Source organism: Homo sapiens, chromosome 21 (genome assembly GCF_000001405.40).
Source record: "Homo sapiens chromosome 21, GRCh38.p14 Primary Assembly".
Classification (NCBI taxonomy): Eukaryota; Metazoa; Chordata; class Mammalia; order Primates; family Hominidae; genus Homo; species Homo sapiens.
In genome coordinates this window covers 33,330,441-33,350,099 of record NC_000021.9, presented here as the reverse complement: position 1 = coordinate 33,350,099, position 19,659 = coordinate 33,330,441, and the positions used below count along the sequence as shown (strand labels likewise).

The following is a 19,659-nucleotide window of genomic DNA, read 5'->3' as shown; positions in this document are numbered from 1 at the left end:
ATTCCTGAGTTCCATCCCCAGAGATAATGATTCAGTAACAATAGGCTCAGGAATCTGTATTTTAAAAGCAAACTGGGGCCCAGATGCAGCTCACCCATAACTCTACAGTGCAAAACATGAAAAATGCTCATAATCTTCATTTTGTTAATATCTGAGTTAATCACATTTTTTTTTTTTAAAGACAAGCTGTCAGTCACTCTGTCACCCAGGCTGGAGTGCAGTGGCACGATCATGGCTCACTGCAGCCTTGACCTCCCAGGTTCAAGTGACCCTCCCACCCCAAGTAGCTGGGAATATAGGTGCACGCCACCACACCAGGCTAATTTTTTAAAATTTTTATTGAGACAGGGTCTCCCTATGTTGCCCAGGCTGGTCTCAAACCCTTAGGCTCAAGTGATCCTCTCGCCTTGGCCTCCTGAAGTGCTGGGATTACAGGCCACTGCATCCAGCCCACATAAAGTTTAAAAATTTCCCCCAAATTTTACATTCAAGCTTTATTTACCCAAATCATAATTATAACTCTAAGTTACAAAATTATACTATACAGTCTTTTTACCTCAGCATTTGAAGTGTTTTCCCAAAAAATAATTTCATAAATCAGTGGATAATCCTGGATCACAGGCGTGTTTCCAGACTGTTTTGGAGCACCGATATAGATATGGAATGAATCACTAAGGGATCTAATGTTAAAGACTGGAGGAAGTAGGAAAGCTAGAAAAAATTTGTAAAGAAATAATGTTCAATTAGAAAAACAATTTTAAAAACTTGCACCAGAGAATTACAATCTCCAGTAAAAACTACTGCCTTACCTTGTATTTCAGTATCAAACTTTATCTCTTCAGACCAAAAAGATGTGTTATTTCCATCAGATGCTTGTACGCGGAGAAGGTAAATTCCTTTTTGGAAAACGTTTTGAGGAAAGACACACTGGGTAGTTTTGACATTTTCACAGTCAGGTATTTGTTTCCATTTATACAAATGGTTTCCAGGATTCCTTTTTAAAAAGGCGCTTTTAAGACAAATATTTTTTAAATTCATTAGATATTTATTAAGTATTTACAATTGCCAGACACTATGTTAGGGGCTAAGGTTACAGAAATAAATAGTATCCACACTCAGGAAACTCACAAACAATGGAAGAGATATGCATCTAACATAAAAGAAAACCAAAGACTGTTCCAGACTGTGGTCATGTTGTGCTCTGCTGGAGGTGGCTCATATCAATATGCAAGAACATCTGTTAGTTAGAATTTCCAGGAATGCTGCAAGCTGGTTTATTTTTTTTGGCTTTTTTTTTGAGACCGAGTCTCGCTCTGTCACCCAGGCTGGAGTGGAGTGGTAGGATCTTGGCTCACTGCAACCTCTGCCTCCTGGGTTCAAGCAATTCTCCTGCCTCTGTCCCCCTGAGTAGCTGGGATTACAGGTGCACGCCACCAGGCCTGCCTAATTTTTGTATTTTTAGTAGAGATGGGGTTTCGTCATGTTGGCCAGGCTGGTCTTGAACTCCTGACCTCAGGTGATCCACCTACCTCGGCCTCCTAAAATACAAACTGGTTTTTAAAGAAAAACCATTACTAAAAATTAAGTTATATAAATTTGCAAATAAAAAATTGTTTTAAAGACAGAGGTAATAAATAAATTCATCTTGTCCTAATTATTTTACTACATTTTATTTTCTAAGCTCTTGGGGCTATCTTTATCTATTGTAGCTATATGATAGTGGTGTGCTACTGTGCATATGTTCCCAACTCCATATTCAGGGACATCAGGCTGGTGGCTTGAAAGTGGCCATGGTGGGAATATTTATATCATAAAAATCAGCAAACACTACAAAATAGGACTTTTTCTTTCTGGAAAGCCAGCTGCTAAACATGCGCCAGCATACCAATGGACACTGATTAAGTGCTAAAATAGAGACACACTGCGGGGTTATAAGAGCAAGTATAAGTACGAGACTAAAGAGGTTAAGTAACTTGCCCAGAAACCAACAGCTAAAAGCATCTCAGTTCAAGCCCAGAACTCTAATAGCCTCCTGACTGGTTTCCTTATCTCTCTTTAGTGTCTCCTTAGTCCACTCTCCCACATACCATGTCGCCGCATGCACCTTCCTCAAATCCAGAGCTCAGGTTAACTATCACCCCAACACAAAATCCCCAAAAGCCTACAGGACAGCCTGAGGTTGACCCTAATCTTGTCCCATTCTACTTATTCAGCTTTCTTCCCATTGCCACCTGGTGTCCAAATGTTCTGCTACTCTAGAAGGACATCCTCCCCACTGGAGAAGGCAAAATTCTGAGATGGCCCCCAAGATTCCTGCCCCCTGGTGTACACATCCTGTATAATCCCCTCCTCTTGAGCATGGGCAGGACCTGTAAATACGATGGAGGCCCTCCTCTCATAATTAGGTTACATTAAGTGGCAGAAGAGAAGGTATTTCACAGATGTAATTAAGGTCCCAAATCAGTTGAATCAAATGAGAGACTATTCTGGGTGGGCCTGACCTAATCAGATGAACCCCTTAAAAGAGGATCTAGGCCAGGCATGGTGGCTCATGCCTCTAATCCCAGCACTTTGGGAGGCTGAGGTGGGCAGATCACTTGGGGCCAGGAGTTTGCGAACAGCCTGGCAAACATGGAGAAACTCCGTCTCTACTAAAAATACAAAAAAAATGGCTGAGCGCGGTGCCTCACGCCTATAATCCCAGAACTTTGGGAGGCTGAGGCGGGTGGATCACCTGAAGTCAGGAGTTCGAGACCAGCCTGGCCAATACGGTGAAACCCCGTTTCTACTAAAACTACAAAAATTAGCTGGGTGTGGTGGTGCACACCTGTAGTCCCAGCTACTTGGGAGGCTGAGGCAGAAGAATCACTTGAACCCAGGACGCGGAGGTTGCAGTGAGCTGAGATCATGTCACTGCACTCCAGTCTGGGTGACAGAGTGAGACTCCGTCTCAAAAAAAAAAAAAAAAGGATCTAGAGGTCAGACTCTCCCTTCCTGATGGCCTCTAAGAAGTGAGCCACCATGAGCTCTAGAAATAAATTCTGCCAACAACATGTGAGCTTGGGAGCGGCCCCCAAGTCTTGTATGAATGACTGACTCCTTGACTGCTTAGCAGAAGAGCCAGCTAAGCCACGCTTGGACTCCTGACTCACAGAAACTTTGAGACAATAAACAGCTGTTTAAGTTGCTAAGTCTGTGGTAATTAGTTACAGACACAGAAAACTAACATCTAATAGTTGTCTACTTAAAAAAAATCTGAATTAACAATCAAGGCCTTGTTCATACCTTATCTCTTTCCTTATGGCTTCTTTGGTCTCTTTAGCCCCTATTCACCTTTACATTTTCAATTTCTGCAACCCTTATAATTTGTATACCACTCTTTAGTCCTAAACCACACAACACTTTGCAATGTTGGCTAACTGCTTTCAATTTTTGAACCACGTTTGATTCTGCTGACTCTTTCCATTTCTTCAGTGCTTTGTACAATATGGTAAGTACCCAAAAGAAGCTTAGAGATCAGCTATCAGAAATACCTCTCATTATCTATTTGGTGACCCTATTATTTATTCACTTCTGAAAGTGAGGTATACACAAAAGACTACTGAACAGTTTCCTGATTGGTTTGTGAGGTTATATATGCATTGTGGGGCACATATGCACATAAATGCATTTGCATTCTACCAGTCACCCTTGGTTCAAAATTAACACTAAAAGATAGAAATTGATCATAGCGGTACTTACACTTCCCTTCTCCCTCATTTTTTCTGTTTCTTTCCAGTTTCTTCTGACTTTTCCTTTCCTGTCTTAGCTATACTTGCCTTTGCTCTCTCTACTCCTCTGCCACCAATGTATATCTTTCTTTCCATCTCTTTTCTCCCCATAACCCATTTTTCCTTCTACTTAATTTTCCTCTTCTCTTTTCTCTATTCATCTCCTACAATTTTCCAATCAATATAAACTACATGCAGTTCTCTTTTATCAGCTTTTTAAAAATTTTAATGCTTAGAGATGGGGGTCTCACTATGTTGCCCAGGCTGCAGTGCAGCGGCTACTAGCAGGTGTGATCATACAACACTGCAGCCTCAATTCCTGGCCTCAAGTAATCCTCCTGCCTCAGCCCACTGAGTAGCTGGGACGATAGGCATGCGCCACTGCACCAGGCCAGTTCTCTTTCATTTATGCAGCGCCTGGACTTCATCCATGTTTAGCTAGCCTCTGCTCAACCACATAGAACATAGTTCTTTCCAACTTTCTTTCCCACCGAAGTATCTACTACAAAATTTTGTCAAAACCACTAAAGTAATAAAGAAAATAGGAAGGCTAATTTTTTGAATTGAACAAGTGAGTGGACTGAGATCATTTTAAGGACTCATGGAAGAAGTGAGTTCTTAGAAAAAGATCAGGGTCAACTGTCGAGTCTTCCAGATTGGGGAAATAACACATGCAACTAGTTACACTTTCTTTTTTTTCTTAAGCCAGTAAGAACCCCAGATATTAGAATCCATCTATTTTACAAGTGAAGAAATTGAGGCCCATGGAGGTTAAGCGATTAGCTCAATGTCATCCAGTTAGTTACTGGCAGAACTGGGGTTAGAAATGAGATTTCTCACGTTTCCAATATATCGTACCCACCTCCCAGTCGGTCATTCTGTGTGCAAGGACCTGGTGACTGATGCAGAGCGAAAAGAAGCATAATCAAAACAAACTGGGCAAAAGGAAATTTATGGAATGGAACTTACTGGAGCCACTGAACTTGAAAGGTCATGTTTGCATATGTATAATCCCATTTAAGAACATAGTTCTGATTTTGGACACTGACTTCTATATTTTCTGGTGGAGGTAGTTCATTTTCAACTAGAAGCCAAAGAACAGATAAAAAAAAGCACACATTTTTACTCAAGTGAGATAACTGGCAAGAAGATAAAGGCTCGCATTTTATCATTATAAGGTAATAGTTAAATATGGTTTGTATTCACACTATGTAATACTATGCAGCCATTTGAAAGACTACAGGCCGGGCGCAGTGGCTCACACCTGTAATCCCAGAACTTTGGGAGGCTGAGGTGGATGGATCACCTGAGGTCAGGAGTTCGAGACGCGCCTGGCCAACATGGTGAAACCCCATTTCTACTAAAAATACAAAAATTAGCCAGGCATGATGGCACACGCCTGTAATCCCAGCTACTCGGGAGGCTGAGGCAGGAGAATCGCTTGAAGCTGGGAGGCAGAGGTTGCGGTGAGCCGAGATTGAGCCACTGCACTCCATTCTGGGCAAGAGAGTGAGACTCTGTCTCAAAAATAAATAAATAAATAAATAAATAAATAAATAAATAAGTAAAAAAGAAAGAATGCAATAGATGGCTAAGATCAAATGAAGAACGTAATAGATCTGTATTGAGTGATATAGAATATCCCCAACACACTGGGTTAAGTAAGCAAGCTGTAAAATACTTCTAGTAAGATTTTATTTTGTAATTTTAAAAAACAAAACCCAAGAAACTGTGGGTCTGTGTATATGCTTACATAAATCCTGAAAAAAGTTGTGAAAGGATATACACAAACTGCTAAGCAATGCTTATCTCTAGTGAATGGAATTGGGGATAAGAAGGGAGAAGAAGACTTCACTTTAAACCCTTCCGTAATGTTTGATTAAAAAAAAAAGCATATGAAATTTACAATTAAAATAAACAAATCCCAGCTCCTGCCCTTGACCTTAATTATTGGAAAGATGTTACTAAATGTATCAGGATACTTTCATATTTTAACATTCCACTTACAAAGGTATGCTTTCTTGAACAATAACTTGTCTACTAGCAACTACTTCCCCACCTTTTCTTCCCACTTGCAGAACTCATAGTTCAGCTACCTCCTGCTTCATGTGGATTCTGAACAAATGAAAAGTTTTGTCATTACAAAATATTTGAACTTTTTTTTTTTTCTAAGACGGAGCCTTACTCTTTGTCCCCCTTGCTCCCGACTGGAGTGCAGTGGCGCGATCTTGGCTCACTGCAACTTCCACCTCCCAGGTTCAAGGGATTCTTGTGCCTCAGCCTCCCAAGTAGCTACCACTACAGGCGTGAGCCACCACGCCCAGCTAATTATTTTTAGTAGACACGGGGTTTTCCCATGTTGGCGAGGCTGTTCTCGAACTTCTGGCTTCAAGTGATCCAGCTACCTCAGCCTCTCAAAGTGCTGGGATTACAGGCGTGGGCCACTACGCCCAGCCTGAACTTTTAAGTAGAATTAATTTTCATTACTATTTGAGACAAAAATCCCAAGTAACATTTATTTTGCTTATGTAAATGTTACAATGTTTTTAACATATATTGACCTATCATGTAAACTTCAGCAATATGGGGAAGATGCCAAAATTGACAATCTGTTTATATATTTATTGAATCTAAAACAAAACATCTTCCTTACCTGTGGTCTTTATACAATGTACTGGACTATAGACACCAATTTTCCATGACGTAAGTAGTGCTGCTTTAACTTTTAGACAATAAGTAGTCTCTGGTGAGAGTTTATAAATTTTATGTCTGGAATAAATATTTTCAATCCTTTCCTATAACACAAATATAAGTTGGTTCTTTAAAAAAGTATAAAGTCAAATTTTAGGATTAATTCGCCTAATTTTTCTCTCACATCGATTAAACAGAGGTAAAAATAATGCTTACTTCTACACCTGAAGAGTTTTTCCAGATAACTAAGCTATATGTAAAGCTTAAACCATCCAAAGCCCACATAACACTATCTTTTGTTCCAGGAGAGATGTGTATCACTATTGCCTTATCTTCAGCTTCTAAATGTACTTCTGGAGGACCAATCTGAGCTGCAAAAAAATCAAAACAATTACTATGGAACTTTATTAATACAATGCCAAAACCTTCATTCAACAAATAATTCTGAGCACTTAATATGTGCCTGCCACTTCTGGGAGTTAAGAGCATACAGATAGGATAGAAAGCTGTAAGATCACCAGTGGAGTGATACAGAAAGAGAAGAGGTTCAATGACTGAGCCCAGCAGCAGTCTAACACTGAAAAGTTGGGAAGATGAAGCGATCAATGAGCAGGAGGAGAACCAGGAAAGAGCAGTGTCCCAGAGATCCAGTAAAGGAAAAACTGAGTGATGACCACATCTATGCTACAGAGGGATGAAGCCAGAAGAGGACTGGGAATTTGCTTGGCATTGTGGAGGCTGCTGTGACCTTGAGAAGAGTGGTTTATTTATTTTTTTTTTTTGAGACGGAGTCTCGCTCTGTCGCCCAGGCTGGAGTGCAGTGGCACGATCTCGGCTCACTGCAAGCTCCGCCTCCCGGGTTCATGTCATTCTCCTGCCTCAGCCTCCCGAGTAGCTGGGACTACAGGCTCCCGCCACCATGCCCGGCTAGTTTTTTTTTTTTTTTTTTTGTATTTTTAGTAGAGACAGGGTTTCACCGTGTTAGCCAGGATGGTCTCGATCTCCTGACCTCGTGATCTGCCCGCCTTGGCCTCCCAAAGTGCTGGGATTACAGGCGTGAGCCACCGCGCCTGGCCAAAAAGAGTGGTTTTAAGTGAGGAGGAACAGAATTTGAATGGAGAGGGCTGACAGGGAATTGGAAGATTAGTATAGAAAGGGAGTACAGATCATTCTTGGTACAGGGCAGTGGTTCTCAAACCTTTTGGTCTCAGGATCCCCACTTTTTTTTGAGATATGGTCTAGCTCTGTTGCTCAGGCTGGAGTGCAGTGGCACAAACACAGCTCACTGCAACCTTGATCTCCCAGGCTCAAGTGATCCTCCCTCTTCAGCTTCCTGAATAGCTGGGACTACAGGTGTGCACCACCATGCCTGGCTAATTTTTATATATTTTTTGTAGAGATGGGGTCTCACTATGTTGCCTAGGTTGGTCTTGAACTTCTGGCCTCAAGTGATCCTCCCACCTCAGCCTCCCAAAGTGTTGGAATTACAGGTGTGGGCCACTACACTCAGCTCCTTTACATTCTTAAAGGAATTATCGAGAATCCCAAACAGCCATTATTTATGTGGGCTGTATATTTTTATATTAGCATATTAAACATTAAAACTGGTAAAGTTTTCAATCCATTTTAACTAATTAATCCATTAAGAAATAACAATGGACTGGGCATGGTGGCTCACGCCTGTAATCCCAGCACTTTGGGAGGTTGAGGTGGGCAGATCACCTGAGGTTGGGAGTTTGAGGTCAGCCTGACCAACATGGAGAAACCCTGTCTCTACTAAAAATACAAAATTGGCCAGGCATGGTGATGCATGCTGGTAATCCCAGGTACTCGGGAGGCTGAGGCGGGAGAGTCACTTGAACCCAGGAGGCAGAGGCTGTAGTGAGCCGTGATTGTGCCATTGCACTCCAGCCTGGGCAACAAGAACAAAACTCTGTCTCAAAAAAAAAAAGAAAGAAATAACAATGATAAACCTATTTTATGGTAACAAACATTTGCCAAAAGGAACATAGAAACTTCAGAGTGGTGCTGTTTTACATTTTTTTTCCAAATCTTTTGAATGTTTGGATTAATAAAGAAGGCAGATGAATTTCACATTGAATTCTATGTTAAATCAGTGACCATATCACCACATCACACATCAAACAGCCTCCTCTGGAAAACTCCACTGTGAATACAAGAAAGAACAAAAATTAAAAAGGCAACTAAGTCTTAGATTTGTCATAAATATAGCTTTGTCTTTACAGCCCCCTGAAAGGGCCTTGAGGATCACTCTTTGAGAACCACTACTACAGGGAAAGTAGGACAAATGGAGCCATAGCAGGAAGAAGATATAGGTTTAAGGGAATTTTTGTTCTTTTTAAAAGATGTTAGATTTTGCATCATGCAAATGAATGGCTTGGAAAGTGAACTGCTCTGGTAATATTTACTAAAGAATATAATTCAGCTAGCAACTTTTTCTTACCTTTGCGAAATGGTGTAAATGAGTCAACCTCATACCATGAAGAAGTGTTTTCTTTTTCTGCTCTTATACGCAATTTAATTTCTTCATAAACATTCAGCTTGAGTGAAGAAAAGTTGCATTTGGTACTAGTAATATTCTGACACCCAGACAATTTTATCCAATTATCCATCCCAGTTCTTTAAAGTAAAAAAAACAAATGAATGAGTGAGCAAATGTATAAATGTAAGTGTCAAATACTTTCTATTTACTGGTATAAGAGTTATTTCTTAACTCTTAATAACTCTTGTTTAAGAGTTATTTCTATTTTTGGTTTAAGAGTTATTTCTTCTACTTGAGCTAATGTCCTATTAACATTTTAGCATACACCCTTCCACTCTTTTTCAATGCATATAAGCCAAGTTATTACTTATGAAACTGAATTTTAAAATACAGTTCTTTATATAATTTTGTGGGTGGTTGCTTCAGGAAGCAGAGAAATAAATGACCCATAAGGTAAAAGTGGATTTAGTATGTTGGCTCTGTTAAAAATAGCTGTGTGACTTTTGGTAAACTATTTTGTGTTTCTGGATCTTATCTTCCTTATTGAAAGTTTGGAGCCTGGTCAACATAGCAAACCCTGTCTCTATGAGAAATAAAAAAAAAAAAAGGCAAAGCAGGGCATGGTGGCACATGCCCACAGTCCTAGCTACTGGGTAGGCTGAGGTGAGAGGGTCATTTGAGCATAGGGGTTCAAGGCTGCAGGCTGCAGTAGGCTATGATCATATCACTGCACTCCAGCCTCAGCAACCGAGCAAGACCCTGTCTCTAATAAAATAAAATTAAATAGAAACTGGGGAATTGGATTTGATGATTCCCTTCTGACCTCCTCCTATGAATAGACTTACCTTCCCTAAGAAAGACCTCAGAATCAGTATGGTTTCAAGGTTTCCTCTGCCCTCTCCAAAAGCAAACCATCCCTTCTGCTTGCCTGTCTCCGTAATTTCTTCTATTACATCATCAGAAACCACAAAACTGAAAATGTTTACATAAACAAATAAATTTTTGGAAGTGGAACTGGCCAATCAGAAAGCTGAAGTGATATTAGATTCTTCCTTTCAAAAAAGGGGCAAACATGAAAAATAAAGTGGGCATGGAGTGCCTAAAGCAGAAAAGGACATGTTGCCCAGAAAGGGGAAGAAGAGCTTGCAGGGAAAGTGAGGGATAGAAACGAACTTAGCAGATTTCTTTTTTTTTTTTTTTTTTTTTTTGAGACAGAGTCTTACTCTGTTGCCCAGGCTGGAGTGCAGTGGTGCAATCTCGGCCCACTGCAACCTCCACTTCCTAGGTTCAAGCAATTCTCCTGCCTCAGCCTCTCAACTAGCTGTGATTACAGGCGTGTGCCACCACGTCTGGCTAATTTTTGTATTTTTTTTTTTAGTAGAGATGGGGTTTTGCCATGTTGGCTAGACTGATCTTAAACTCCTCACCTCAGGTGATCTGCCCACCTCAGCCTCCCAAAGTGCTGGGATTACAGGCGTGAGCCACCATGCCCGGCCAATTTAGCAGATTTGAGAACTTTTACCTATGTTAAGCCCATTGACCATAAGTAGCAGAGAAACTATCTTCTGGGAAGGCATTTTTGTCAAGCCTAATTCATTAGCTGATTTATTTATTTTTAATAATATCACAGATGCCATTTTAAAGACGATTTAGATATTAGAAACCAGAGATAATACCAAAATAATTTTGTTGCTGAACCAAATACAAGTCTACCTTGTTTTTCAAAATGGAAACATTTTTAAGAAATTACCAAAAATATACACTAGCATATGAAATACTTCATTCTTGGCCAGTTTTCACTTCCACTTTTACATATCTGAGGCCTGAGATTAGAGCTGGCATTAAAAATACCTTAAACATTCTTGAAAAGGTTCCACATCAGAATCTATTTCTAAAAATCCAGAAACTCTCATTATAAACAGAAAACCTTATCAAAAATTTAAAACTTAATATAATTTCAACCCAACCTCACTGTTTACATCTGTCTTTCCTACTTCAGGAGATGCTGAAGCATGCTCCATTAAAACTGTTTTACATCTAATCAAGATATTGCAGCAGAAGCTACTTTTATATTTTCTTAAAAAAATCATTATTGGCCGGGCTCGGTGGCTCACACCTGTAATCCCAGCACTTTGGGAGGCCGAGGGGGGTGGATCACTTGAGATCAGGAGTTCGAGATCAGCCCGATCAACATGGAGAAATCCTGTCTCTACTAAAAATACAAAATTAGCCGGGCGTGGGGGTGCATGCCTGTAATCCCAGGCACTCGGGAGGCTGAGACAGGAGAATTGCTTGAACCCGGGAGGCGGAGGTTGCGGTGAGCCGAGATTGCGCCATTGCACTCCAGCCTGGGCAACAGAGCAAGACTCCGTCTCAAAAAAAAAAAACCAACAACAAAAAAACTATTATCATATGCAATAATTAGCTCAGAACAGAATATGAAATATGAATATGTAACTAATGTAATATTTACTTCATGAAATCCGTTTCATAATATAACTTCATGCCATCTTTGCCTCTCCTGTTCACTGAGGCAGTCTAAGCAGTCAGAAGAGTGTTTGGCATGAAATATATTCAATATTTGTTGGGTTTTTTTTTTTTTTTGAGATGAAGTCTTGCTGTCACCCAGGCTGGAGTGCAGGGGCACGATTTCAGCTCACTGCAACCTGTGCCTCCTGGGTTCAAGCGATTCTCCTGCCTCAGCCTCCCAAGTAGGTGGGATTACAGCACGCACCACCACATCCGGCTGAAGTTTTTGTATTTTTAGTAGAGATGGGGTTTCACCATGTTGGTCAGGCTGGTCTCGAACTCCTGACTTCAGGTGATCCACCTGCCTTGGCCTCCCAAAGTGCTGGGATTACAGGTGTGAGCCACCATGCCCAGCCTTTTTTAACTTTTTAATAACAGCCATTCTGACTGCGGGGAGACAATATCTCATGGCAGGTTTCGTTTGCATTTCTCTGATGATTAGAGTGATGTTGACCATTTTTTCACATACTTGTTGGCCACTGTATGTTTTCTTTTGAAAAATATCTATTCCTATCTTTTGCCTACCTTTTGATGGATTTGGGTTTTGTTGTTGATTGTTTGAGTTCCTTGGATATTAAGCTCTTGTTGGATGCATATTTTGCAAATAGTTTCTTTATACAAGTAACATTAAATAAGGGTATCTGAAATAATTCCTTCTCTACCTAAAATAGTTGTTCATAAGGAAATTCCAAACTAAGGGAAAAAACAAAACTGGTAACCAAACTCAAAGTTCAATTTAATGAAAATCTCTAGAGATAAAAAATTTTAAATGATCAATTCTGAGAAAAGTCATATATGAATTTGTGTGTGTATATACATATACATATACAGTGTGTATATGTATATATAGTGTGTATATGTATGTATACACAATGTGTGTATATGTATGTATACACAATGTGTGTATATGTATGTATACAGTATGTATTATATATAGTGTAATGTATATATACAGTATGTATATATATAGTGTATATATGCATATATACAGTGTGTATTTGTTTATATATGCATACACAATTACTGAAGCTGTGAGATTCATATGCCAGTTTTAGTTACAACTCGAGAATAGTGTCACAGCTGTGGCTGAAGTGGTGGGCTCCTGGTTCCGGAGGGCCTAATGCCTTATTTCTTCATTGCCTGCTTTTTCTTGGACAGGGGAACATGGTTGGCAGGTGGGGCCCCAACACATAATCGGAAGGCAAAGTACTGTACTTCCTGATCTGTGTTCCCTTCTATATTCCTCCTTCTGCCTGCCTCTCCTCTTGAATAATTAAGTAGAAAGTACTAAGGAAGAGACATCAACACTCCAGAAAAACTGAGTCTTTAGAAATGCAAGGTCCAATATATCGATTTTTATTTTATTTTATTTATTTATTTATTTTTGAGATGGAGTCTTGCTGTCTCCCAGGCTGGAGTACAGTGGTGCAAACTTGGCTCACAGCAACCTCTGTCTCCTGGGTTCAAGCGATTCTTCTGCCTCAGCTTCCCAAGTAGGTGGGATTACAGACACATGCCACCATGCCCAGTTAACAATATATTTACAAAGTGTATCTAGGCCAGGGCAGTGGCTCACGCCTGTAATCCTAGCACTTTGGGAGGCTGAGGTGAGCAGACCACCTGAGGTAAGAAGTTTGAGATCAGCCTGGCCAACATGGCGAAACCCCATCTCTACTAAAAATAAAAAAATTAGTCAAACATGGTGGCATGTGCTTGCAATCCCAGCTACTCGAGAGGCTAAGGCAGGAGAATCGCTTGAAACCGGGAAGTGGAGGTTGCAGTGAGCCAAGATTGTGCCACTGCACTCCAGCCTGGTTAACACAGCAAGACTCCACCTCAAAAAAAAAAAAAAAAAAAAAGTGTACCTAAAATTAAAATATAGTATATCATGGAGATAATAGGAAAGCCTGATCACAGGAAACCTGGTGGCCTATTCCAAGGTCTTCGATGGACCTTTTGGAGTACAATGCCATATCTTCAAGATATACCCTAGCTCAGACCCCAACTTATATTGAAAGAAGCTGGAGCTGGAGAGGATGTGGAGAAATAGGAACACTTTTACACTGTTGGTGGGACTGTAAACTAGTTCAACCATTGTGGAAGTCAGTGTGGCGATTCCTCAGGGATCTAGAACTAGAAATACCATTTGACCCAGCCATCCCATTACTGGGTATATACCCAAAGGACTATAAATCATGCTGCTATAAAGACACATGCACACGTATGTTTATTGCGGCATTATTCACAATAGCAAAGACTTGGAACCAACCCAAATGTCCAACAATGATAGACTGGATTAAGAAAATGTGGCACATATACACCATGGAATACTATGCAGCCATAAAAAATGATGAGTTCATGTCCTTTGTAGGGACATGGATGAAATTGGAAATCATCATTCTCAGTAAACTATCGCAAGAACAAAAAACCAAACACCGCATATTCTCACTCATAGGTGGGAACTGAACAATGAGAACACATGGACACAGGAAGGGGAACATCACACTCTGGGGCCTGTTGTGGGATGGGGGGAGGGGGGAGGGATAGCATTGGGAGATATACCTAATGCTAGATGACGAGTTAGTGGGTGCAGCGCACCAGCATGGCACATGTATACATACGTAACTAACCTGCACATTGTGCACATGTACCCTAAAACTTAAAGTATAATAATTAAAAAAAAAAAAAAAAGAAGCTGGAACACCCAGAAGAAAGAAGGAATGGCTATGGGTTAGAGACGCTGTCTACCACCCTCATCCCCAATTTTTTGCTTCAACACCCAAAGATGTATTTGACTAAGTCTCTACAGAAACAAAGTTAAAAATATTATGTAAAATAGGCGTAACATTTCTAAAAAATAGAAAAACCAAACACTTTCCAAATCTAAAAATTATGGTGTTGTTAAACTTGTAAAAATTATTCAGGTCATTCTGACAAATCAGTAAGTAGAGTCACATACTTTTGATAATCGAATGAAAAAGTCACATTCCCGACAGACTCATCGCTCCTGTTCCACCTCAGGATAAAGTTGTCATCTATGATGTCGACCTCTACTTTTTGAGGAGATTTTAGATTTTTTCCACCTATAAAAGCAACAAGAAATAAGAACATTATATACAAACTGTACAGATATTCTAAATGTTATTCTATCCCTCACATCCCTGATTAAAGAATGAATACAGTGAAACATAATGAAGTATATTTTAAAAATCTAAAAAAACTAATGATTGCTCCCAGCACAGGGATGCTGATAATTACATTTCTGCATCTGAGAGAGCTGAAAAAAGAGTTGATTTTTTTTCCTCTTTGAAATAGAGTTGTCTTTTAATTAAAAAACAAATGGTCTCTGCATAAAAATAGAATTTTTCTTGGTCTTAGAAGTGACACCGATGAGTCACTCTTATGATGAGGTTCAACTGTTTTATGGCCTCAATTTGATTTCACATTGTATGTTCATAGATAGATAGAGATGCTTCTTGACTTACAATGGTGTTACGTCCAAATAAATAAGGTTGAGTCCTAGGGGCAATCAAGTGCTGGCTTCCTCCCTGCAGTACTCCTTGTGGTGACATCATCACAAATAATTGACCAGTGCCAGGAAGAGTCACCTGCCCAAGCAGTGCCTCTGAGCCCTGGGTAGTAACAACAGCAGCTGTACTCCCTGATGTGGTACCCCCTGCCCCATCTCCCACTGCAGGGGTGGGAAAGTATAGTGTATCTCAGCAGCTTTCCCCTCTGTGTTAACTGCATCATAACTGGTGATATCACCCTGGATCACCACCTGGGTCATGAATTGAGTGGTAGGATAGCCACTGATGGCACCAGTGCCCTCAGTCTGGACATCCAGCTGCCCCTCACACACCTGGATCACCCTGCGCATCACTTGACACTGGGGTCAGGGAAGGTGGCAGCTGACTGGATGCTGGCAATAGCCCCACTGGCTGGGTCTTCCCCAGAAGCCATTGCACCTGCCTGAATCTGCACTGTCCCCTCTGTCTAGTGCCCTTTCATTTCACCTTTCAGGACTTCCTTAAGCATTTCTCGCAGGGCAGTTCTAGCGGTAATGAACTCCCTTAGCTTTTGTCTATCTAAGAACATCTTAATTTCCTTATGCTTTTGAAGGGCAATTTTGCCATATACAGGGTTTTGAGTTTTTTGGTTTTGTTTTTTTTAGCACTTTGAATACACTGGTCTCCAAAGTATCAGGTGAGAAATCTGCTGATCATGTTATCAAAGATCCCTTGTGTATGACAAGTCACTTCTCTGTCTTTGGCTTTCAAAAGTTTGACTGTTTCTTGGTGTGGTCTCTTTGAGTTCACTGTACTTGGAGTTTGCTGATCTGTCCGAAGCTGAGAGTGGGGTGCTGAAGTCCCCAACTACTATCATATTGGAGTCTATCTTTCCCTTTACGTATAGTAATATTTACTTTATATATCTGGGTGCTCTGGTGTTGGGTACATGTATGTTTAGAATTGTTATATCCTCTTGCTGAATTGGTCCCTTTATCATTATATAATAACCTTCTTTGTCTGTTTTTACAGTTTTTGACTTAATGTCTGTTTAATCTGACATAAGTATAGCAATTCCTGACAGCTTTTGGTTTCCATTTGCTTGGAATAACTTTTTCCATCCCTTCAATTTCAGTTTATATGTGTCTTTATAGGTGAAGTGGGTTTCTTATAGAAAGCATATAATTGAGTCATTTAAAAAATATTCCGCACTTTGGGAGGCCGAGGCGGGTGGATCACGAGGTCAGGAGATCGAGACCATCCTGGCTAACACGGTGAAACCCCGTCTCTACTAAAAATACAAAAAATTAGCCGGGCGTGGTAGCGGGCGCCTGTAGTCCCAGCTACTCAGGAGGCTGAGGCAGGAGAATGGCGTGAACCCGGGAGGCGGAGCTTGCAGTGAGCCGAGATCGCGCCACTGCACTCCAGCCTGGGCAACAGAGCGAGACTCCGTCTCAAAAAAAAAAAAAAAGAAAAAAAAAAATATTCCGCCAGTCTCTTTAAGTATGGAATTTAATCCATTTACATTTAAGATTATTATTGATATTTGAGCCCTTACATTTGTCATTTTGTTAAAGTTTTCTAATAATATCCTTTGCCCCTTTCTTCCTCTCTTATTATTTATCATTGTGGTTTGATGGTTTGATAAGGTTTAATTCTTTTCTCTTTCTCCTTTGTGTATCTGCTCTATCAGAGAGTTTTATACTTTTCCATGTTTTCAAGATACTGACTGCTCTCTTTTCACTTCCAGATGTAGGACTCCCTGGAGCATTTCTCATAAGGCTGGTCTAGCAGTGATGAATTCCCTCAGTTTTTGCTTGTCTGGGAAAAACTGTATTTCTCCCTCATTCCTGAAGGATAGTTTTGCTGGGCATAGCATTCTTGGCTGTTTGAGTATATCATCCCATCCTCTTCTGCACTGTAAGGTTTCTGTGAAGAAATCTGCTGTTAGCTGAATGGGGATTTTCTTAAATGTGACTTGATGCCTTTCTCTTGCTATTTTTAGAATTCTTTCTCTGTCTTTGACTTTTGACAACAGATAATAATGTGCTTTGGAGAGAACCTTTTTGGGTTAAATCTATTTGGGAATCATTGAGCTTTCTGGATCTGGATGTCTGTATCTCTCTCCAGACTTGGGAAGTTTTCAGCTATTATTTCATTAAATAGTTTGTATATGCCTCTTACCTTTTCTCCTCTTTCTGTAACTTACATAGTATGAACGTTTGTTCCTTTAATGATGTCCCATAAGTCTTGTAGGGTTTCACTTGTTTTTTCTACAATTAAGTAATATCAAATGGTATATCTTCAAGTTCAGAGATTCTTTCTTCTGCTTTACCAAGTCTGTTATTGAAGCTCTTTATTGTATTTTTTAAATGTAATTCATTGAATTCTTCAACTGTAGGATTTGTTTGGTTGTTTTTCATCATGTTTTAATTTTTTTGTTGAATTTTTTGTATTGTGAATTGTTTTCCTGATTCATTGAACTATCTGTATTTTCTTGTATCTTGTTGAGTTTCCTTAAGATCATTAGTTTGAATTCCTTTTCCAGCAATTTGTTGATCTTCTTTTCATTGGGCCACCATTAGAGAGTTCTTACTTTCCTTTGGTGGTGTCATATTTCCTTGCTTTTTCATGTTTTTGTGTCTTTGTGTTGATAGGATAATTACCTCTTCCAAACTTTACAGACAGTGGCTTTCAAAGATAAAGTCTTTTATTAGCAGTTGGGTTTCAGTATGCTGGTTTCGAAGGGTGTGGTGACTGTTTCCTGACAGATGCAGTGGTATGGTAAAGCAGCTGCTTTACCTGTGTTCAATGTCAGTAGTAAATGGGTGCCTCAGGGGCCTAGGCTGCAGAAGTTTGTGGCAGTGGTAGTGTAGGTTGTTAATGTTCTCAGTGTTGAAGGCTTTTAGGATCCTCCTATTCTTGTCTTCCCCACAATGGGGAGACTCAGCCAAGGCAACACCTCTTGGTGTCAGGTCTGACAGGGGCTATATATATGCAGCTGCAGCAGCTCTTGATTCCAGATGAAGGTATTCAGAGTGGCTACTGGGCAAAGGTCCTAGGCTCAGGATCTCACAAACCTACTGAGACACTTGGTTGCTGAGGTGGGTTTGCTCTCTGTGGCAGGGCTTGGACGTAGTTGCTCACAGAGCCAGGATTTGTGACCTGGAGGTGCTTCCTGGCAGCTTAGGCCCAGAGAATGGGTTGTAGCTTTGATTCTACCCCTATGGGGGTCAGGGCATAGCACTGGCCTGACTATAAAGAAGGGGTTCTCTGGAGGTTTGGGCCTGGGGAGCAGGGTATGGTTTTAATTTGGGAATATGAGCTAATAGGGCTCAGTGGCAACACAGGTCCCAAGGGATGAGGCACCATGAAGTCATGACTCTAAATCTTGGAATAGCTAGGGATAAGCAGTACCCCAGACTGTGAGGCCAAGTGTAGCAGCAGCAGCAAGTACTACAAAATGGTGAAGCATAGCTGTTGTCTGGGCTGGGAATGGGGGGTAGGGAACAGCACAGTGATGACTCCACTCCTCAGAGTGTCTCAGCAGCTCAGGCTCTAGAGGACTAGTCCAGCTCCAGGGAAGCGGGGTACTACAGTTATTTGGCCTGTAGAACAGGGTGTCTCAGCTCAGCCACTGCTCTGTTTCCCTGAGACATAGGATACTACATCAGCTCAGCCCTGGGATGCATAGCTGCTCGGTTTGGCCAGGGCACTGATTCTGCAGGGAGTGATGTGCTCCTTCAGCTGAGGCCCGGGGAGTGTGACTGCTCTGGGTGGTTCAGGCCCTGTTTCCCTGGAATGCCGTATACCACTTCAGCTTAGGCACAGGGGTGCATGACTGCTCTGGGTGGCCAAGGTAGTGTGTTCCCAGGAAATAGGATACTGCTTCAGCTCTAGCCCAAGGGCAGTGGGGTAGGAGTAGGTGGAGTAGTTCCACCTCTGCTTGACTCCACAGGGAAGGGTGTAACAGCTGCTTAAAGTTTAGCTTAGGGATGTTGAGCCACCAGCCTGGCGTGGTTCAGATGAAAGGAAGCCATGGCTACAAGTCCCCGAAGCAAGACACACTCCAGAAGTAGTTCCAGTTCCAAGGTGGAGTGGCACAGTAGCTGTGTGGGCCACAGCAGGTGGAGCACAGTGTTGGCTCCTTCTCTGGAGGGAACACAGCTGTGCAGACTCTAGGCAGCTTCCTCAGCTTGGCTTAGTTGCTGTCTGGACTCTAAGGAACCCCAGTGGTGAGATCTGTTGGTGCCCATGGTGTAGCTGGGATCTTCTTGTTTATCTCCTTGCCATAGGAAGAAGTTCCTCCTCGTTCCCAGATGATCCTAGGAATCCTGGCATTTCCTCCCATTCTCCATGTGGCCATCCCACTTTTCTCTGCTCACTAGGATTTCTGTTACTTCTTTGATGCACTCTAGCACTCTTAGTTAAGTTTGCTAAAATGTAGTTGTTTATTTGTTGTTCTGGCTGTCTTATGAGGGGATGAGCAGAAGGGGCTTCTAGTTGGCCATCTTGCTAACATCACTCTCCCAGACTACATTGTGTGTGTGTGTGTTTGCTTTGTTTAATTGCTGTGTAATTGTTGTTAATCCTGTGCCAAGGATCAGCTTGAGCTATAAACTTAAGGTCTCTCCTGAGCCTTTCCCTAGGTATGTAC

At 41.1% G+C, this 19,659-nt stretch overlaps 1 protein-coding gene and 1 pseudogene across 8 annotated transcripts in view; both read right to left on the bottom strand.

Annotated features, from left to right (window-relative positions):
• The window catches only part of IFNAR1 (interferon alpha and beta receptor subunit 1), a 35,470-nt gene that overhangs the window by 9,765 nt on the left and 6,046 nt on the right, over positions 1–19,659 (bottom strand). For 5 of the 8 annotated variants that reach the window (NM_001384504.1, NM_000629.3, NM_001384498.1 and 2 more), the window contains exons 2-8: positions 14,453–14,576; positions 8,926–9,101; positions 6,678–6,832; positions 6,424–6,565; positions 4,740–4,854; positions 810–1,009; positions 557–711 (exon numbers count right to left, since the gene is read on the bottom strand). In NM_001384504.1, coding sequence (NP_001371433.1) covers positions 557–711; positions 810–1,009; positions 4,740–4,854; positions 6,424–6,565; positions 6,678–6,832; positions 8,926–9,094 — 936 coding nt within the window. In that variant the 5' untranslated portion in view covers positions 9,095–9,101; positions 14,453–14,576. Of the gene's footprint in view, positions 1–556; positions 712–809; positions 1,010–4,739; positions 4,855–6,423; positions 6,590–6,677; positions 6,833–8,925; positions 9,102–14,452; positions 14,577–19,659 lie in introns of all 8 variants that reach the window. The other 3 variants (NM_001384500.1, NM_001384501.1, NM_001384502.1) reach the window with 3 other exon arrangements.
• On the bottom strand, positions 14,999–15,487 carry USF1P1 (upstream transcription factor 1 pseudogene 1; annotated as a pseudogene).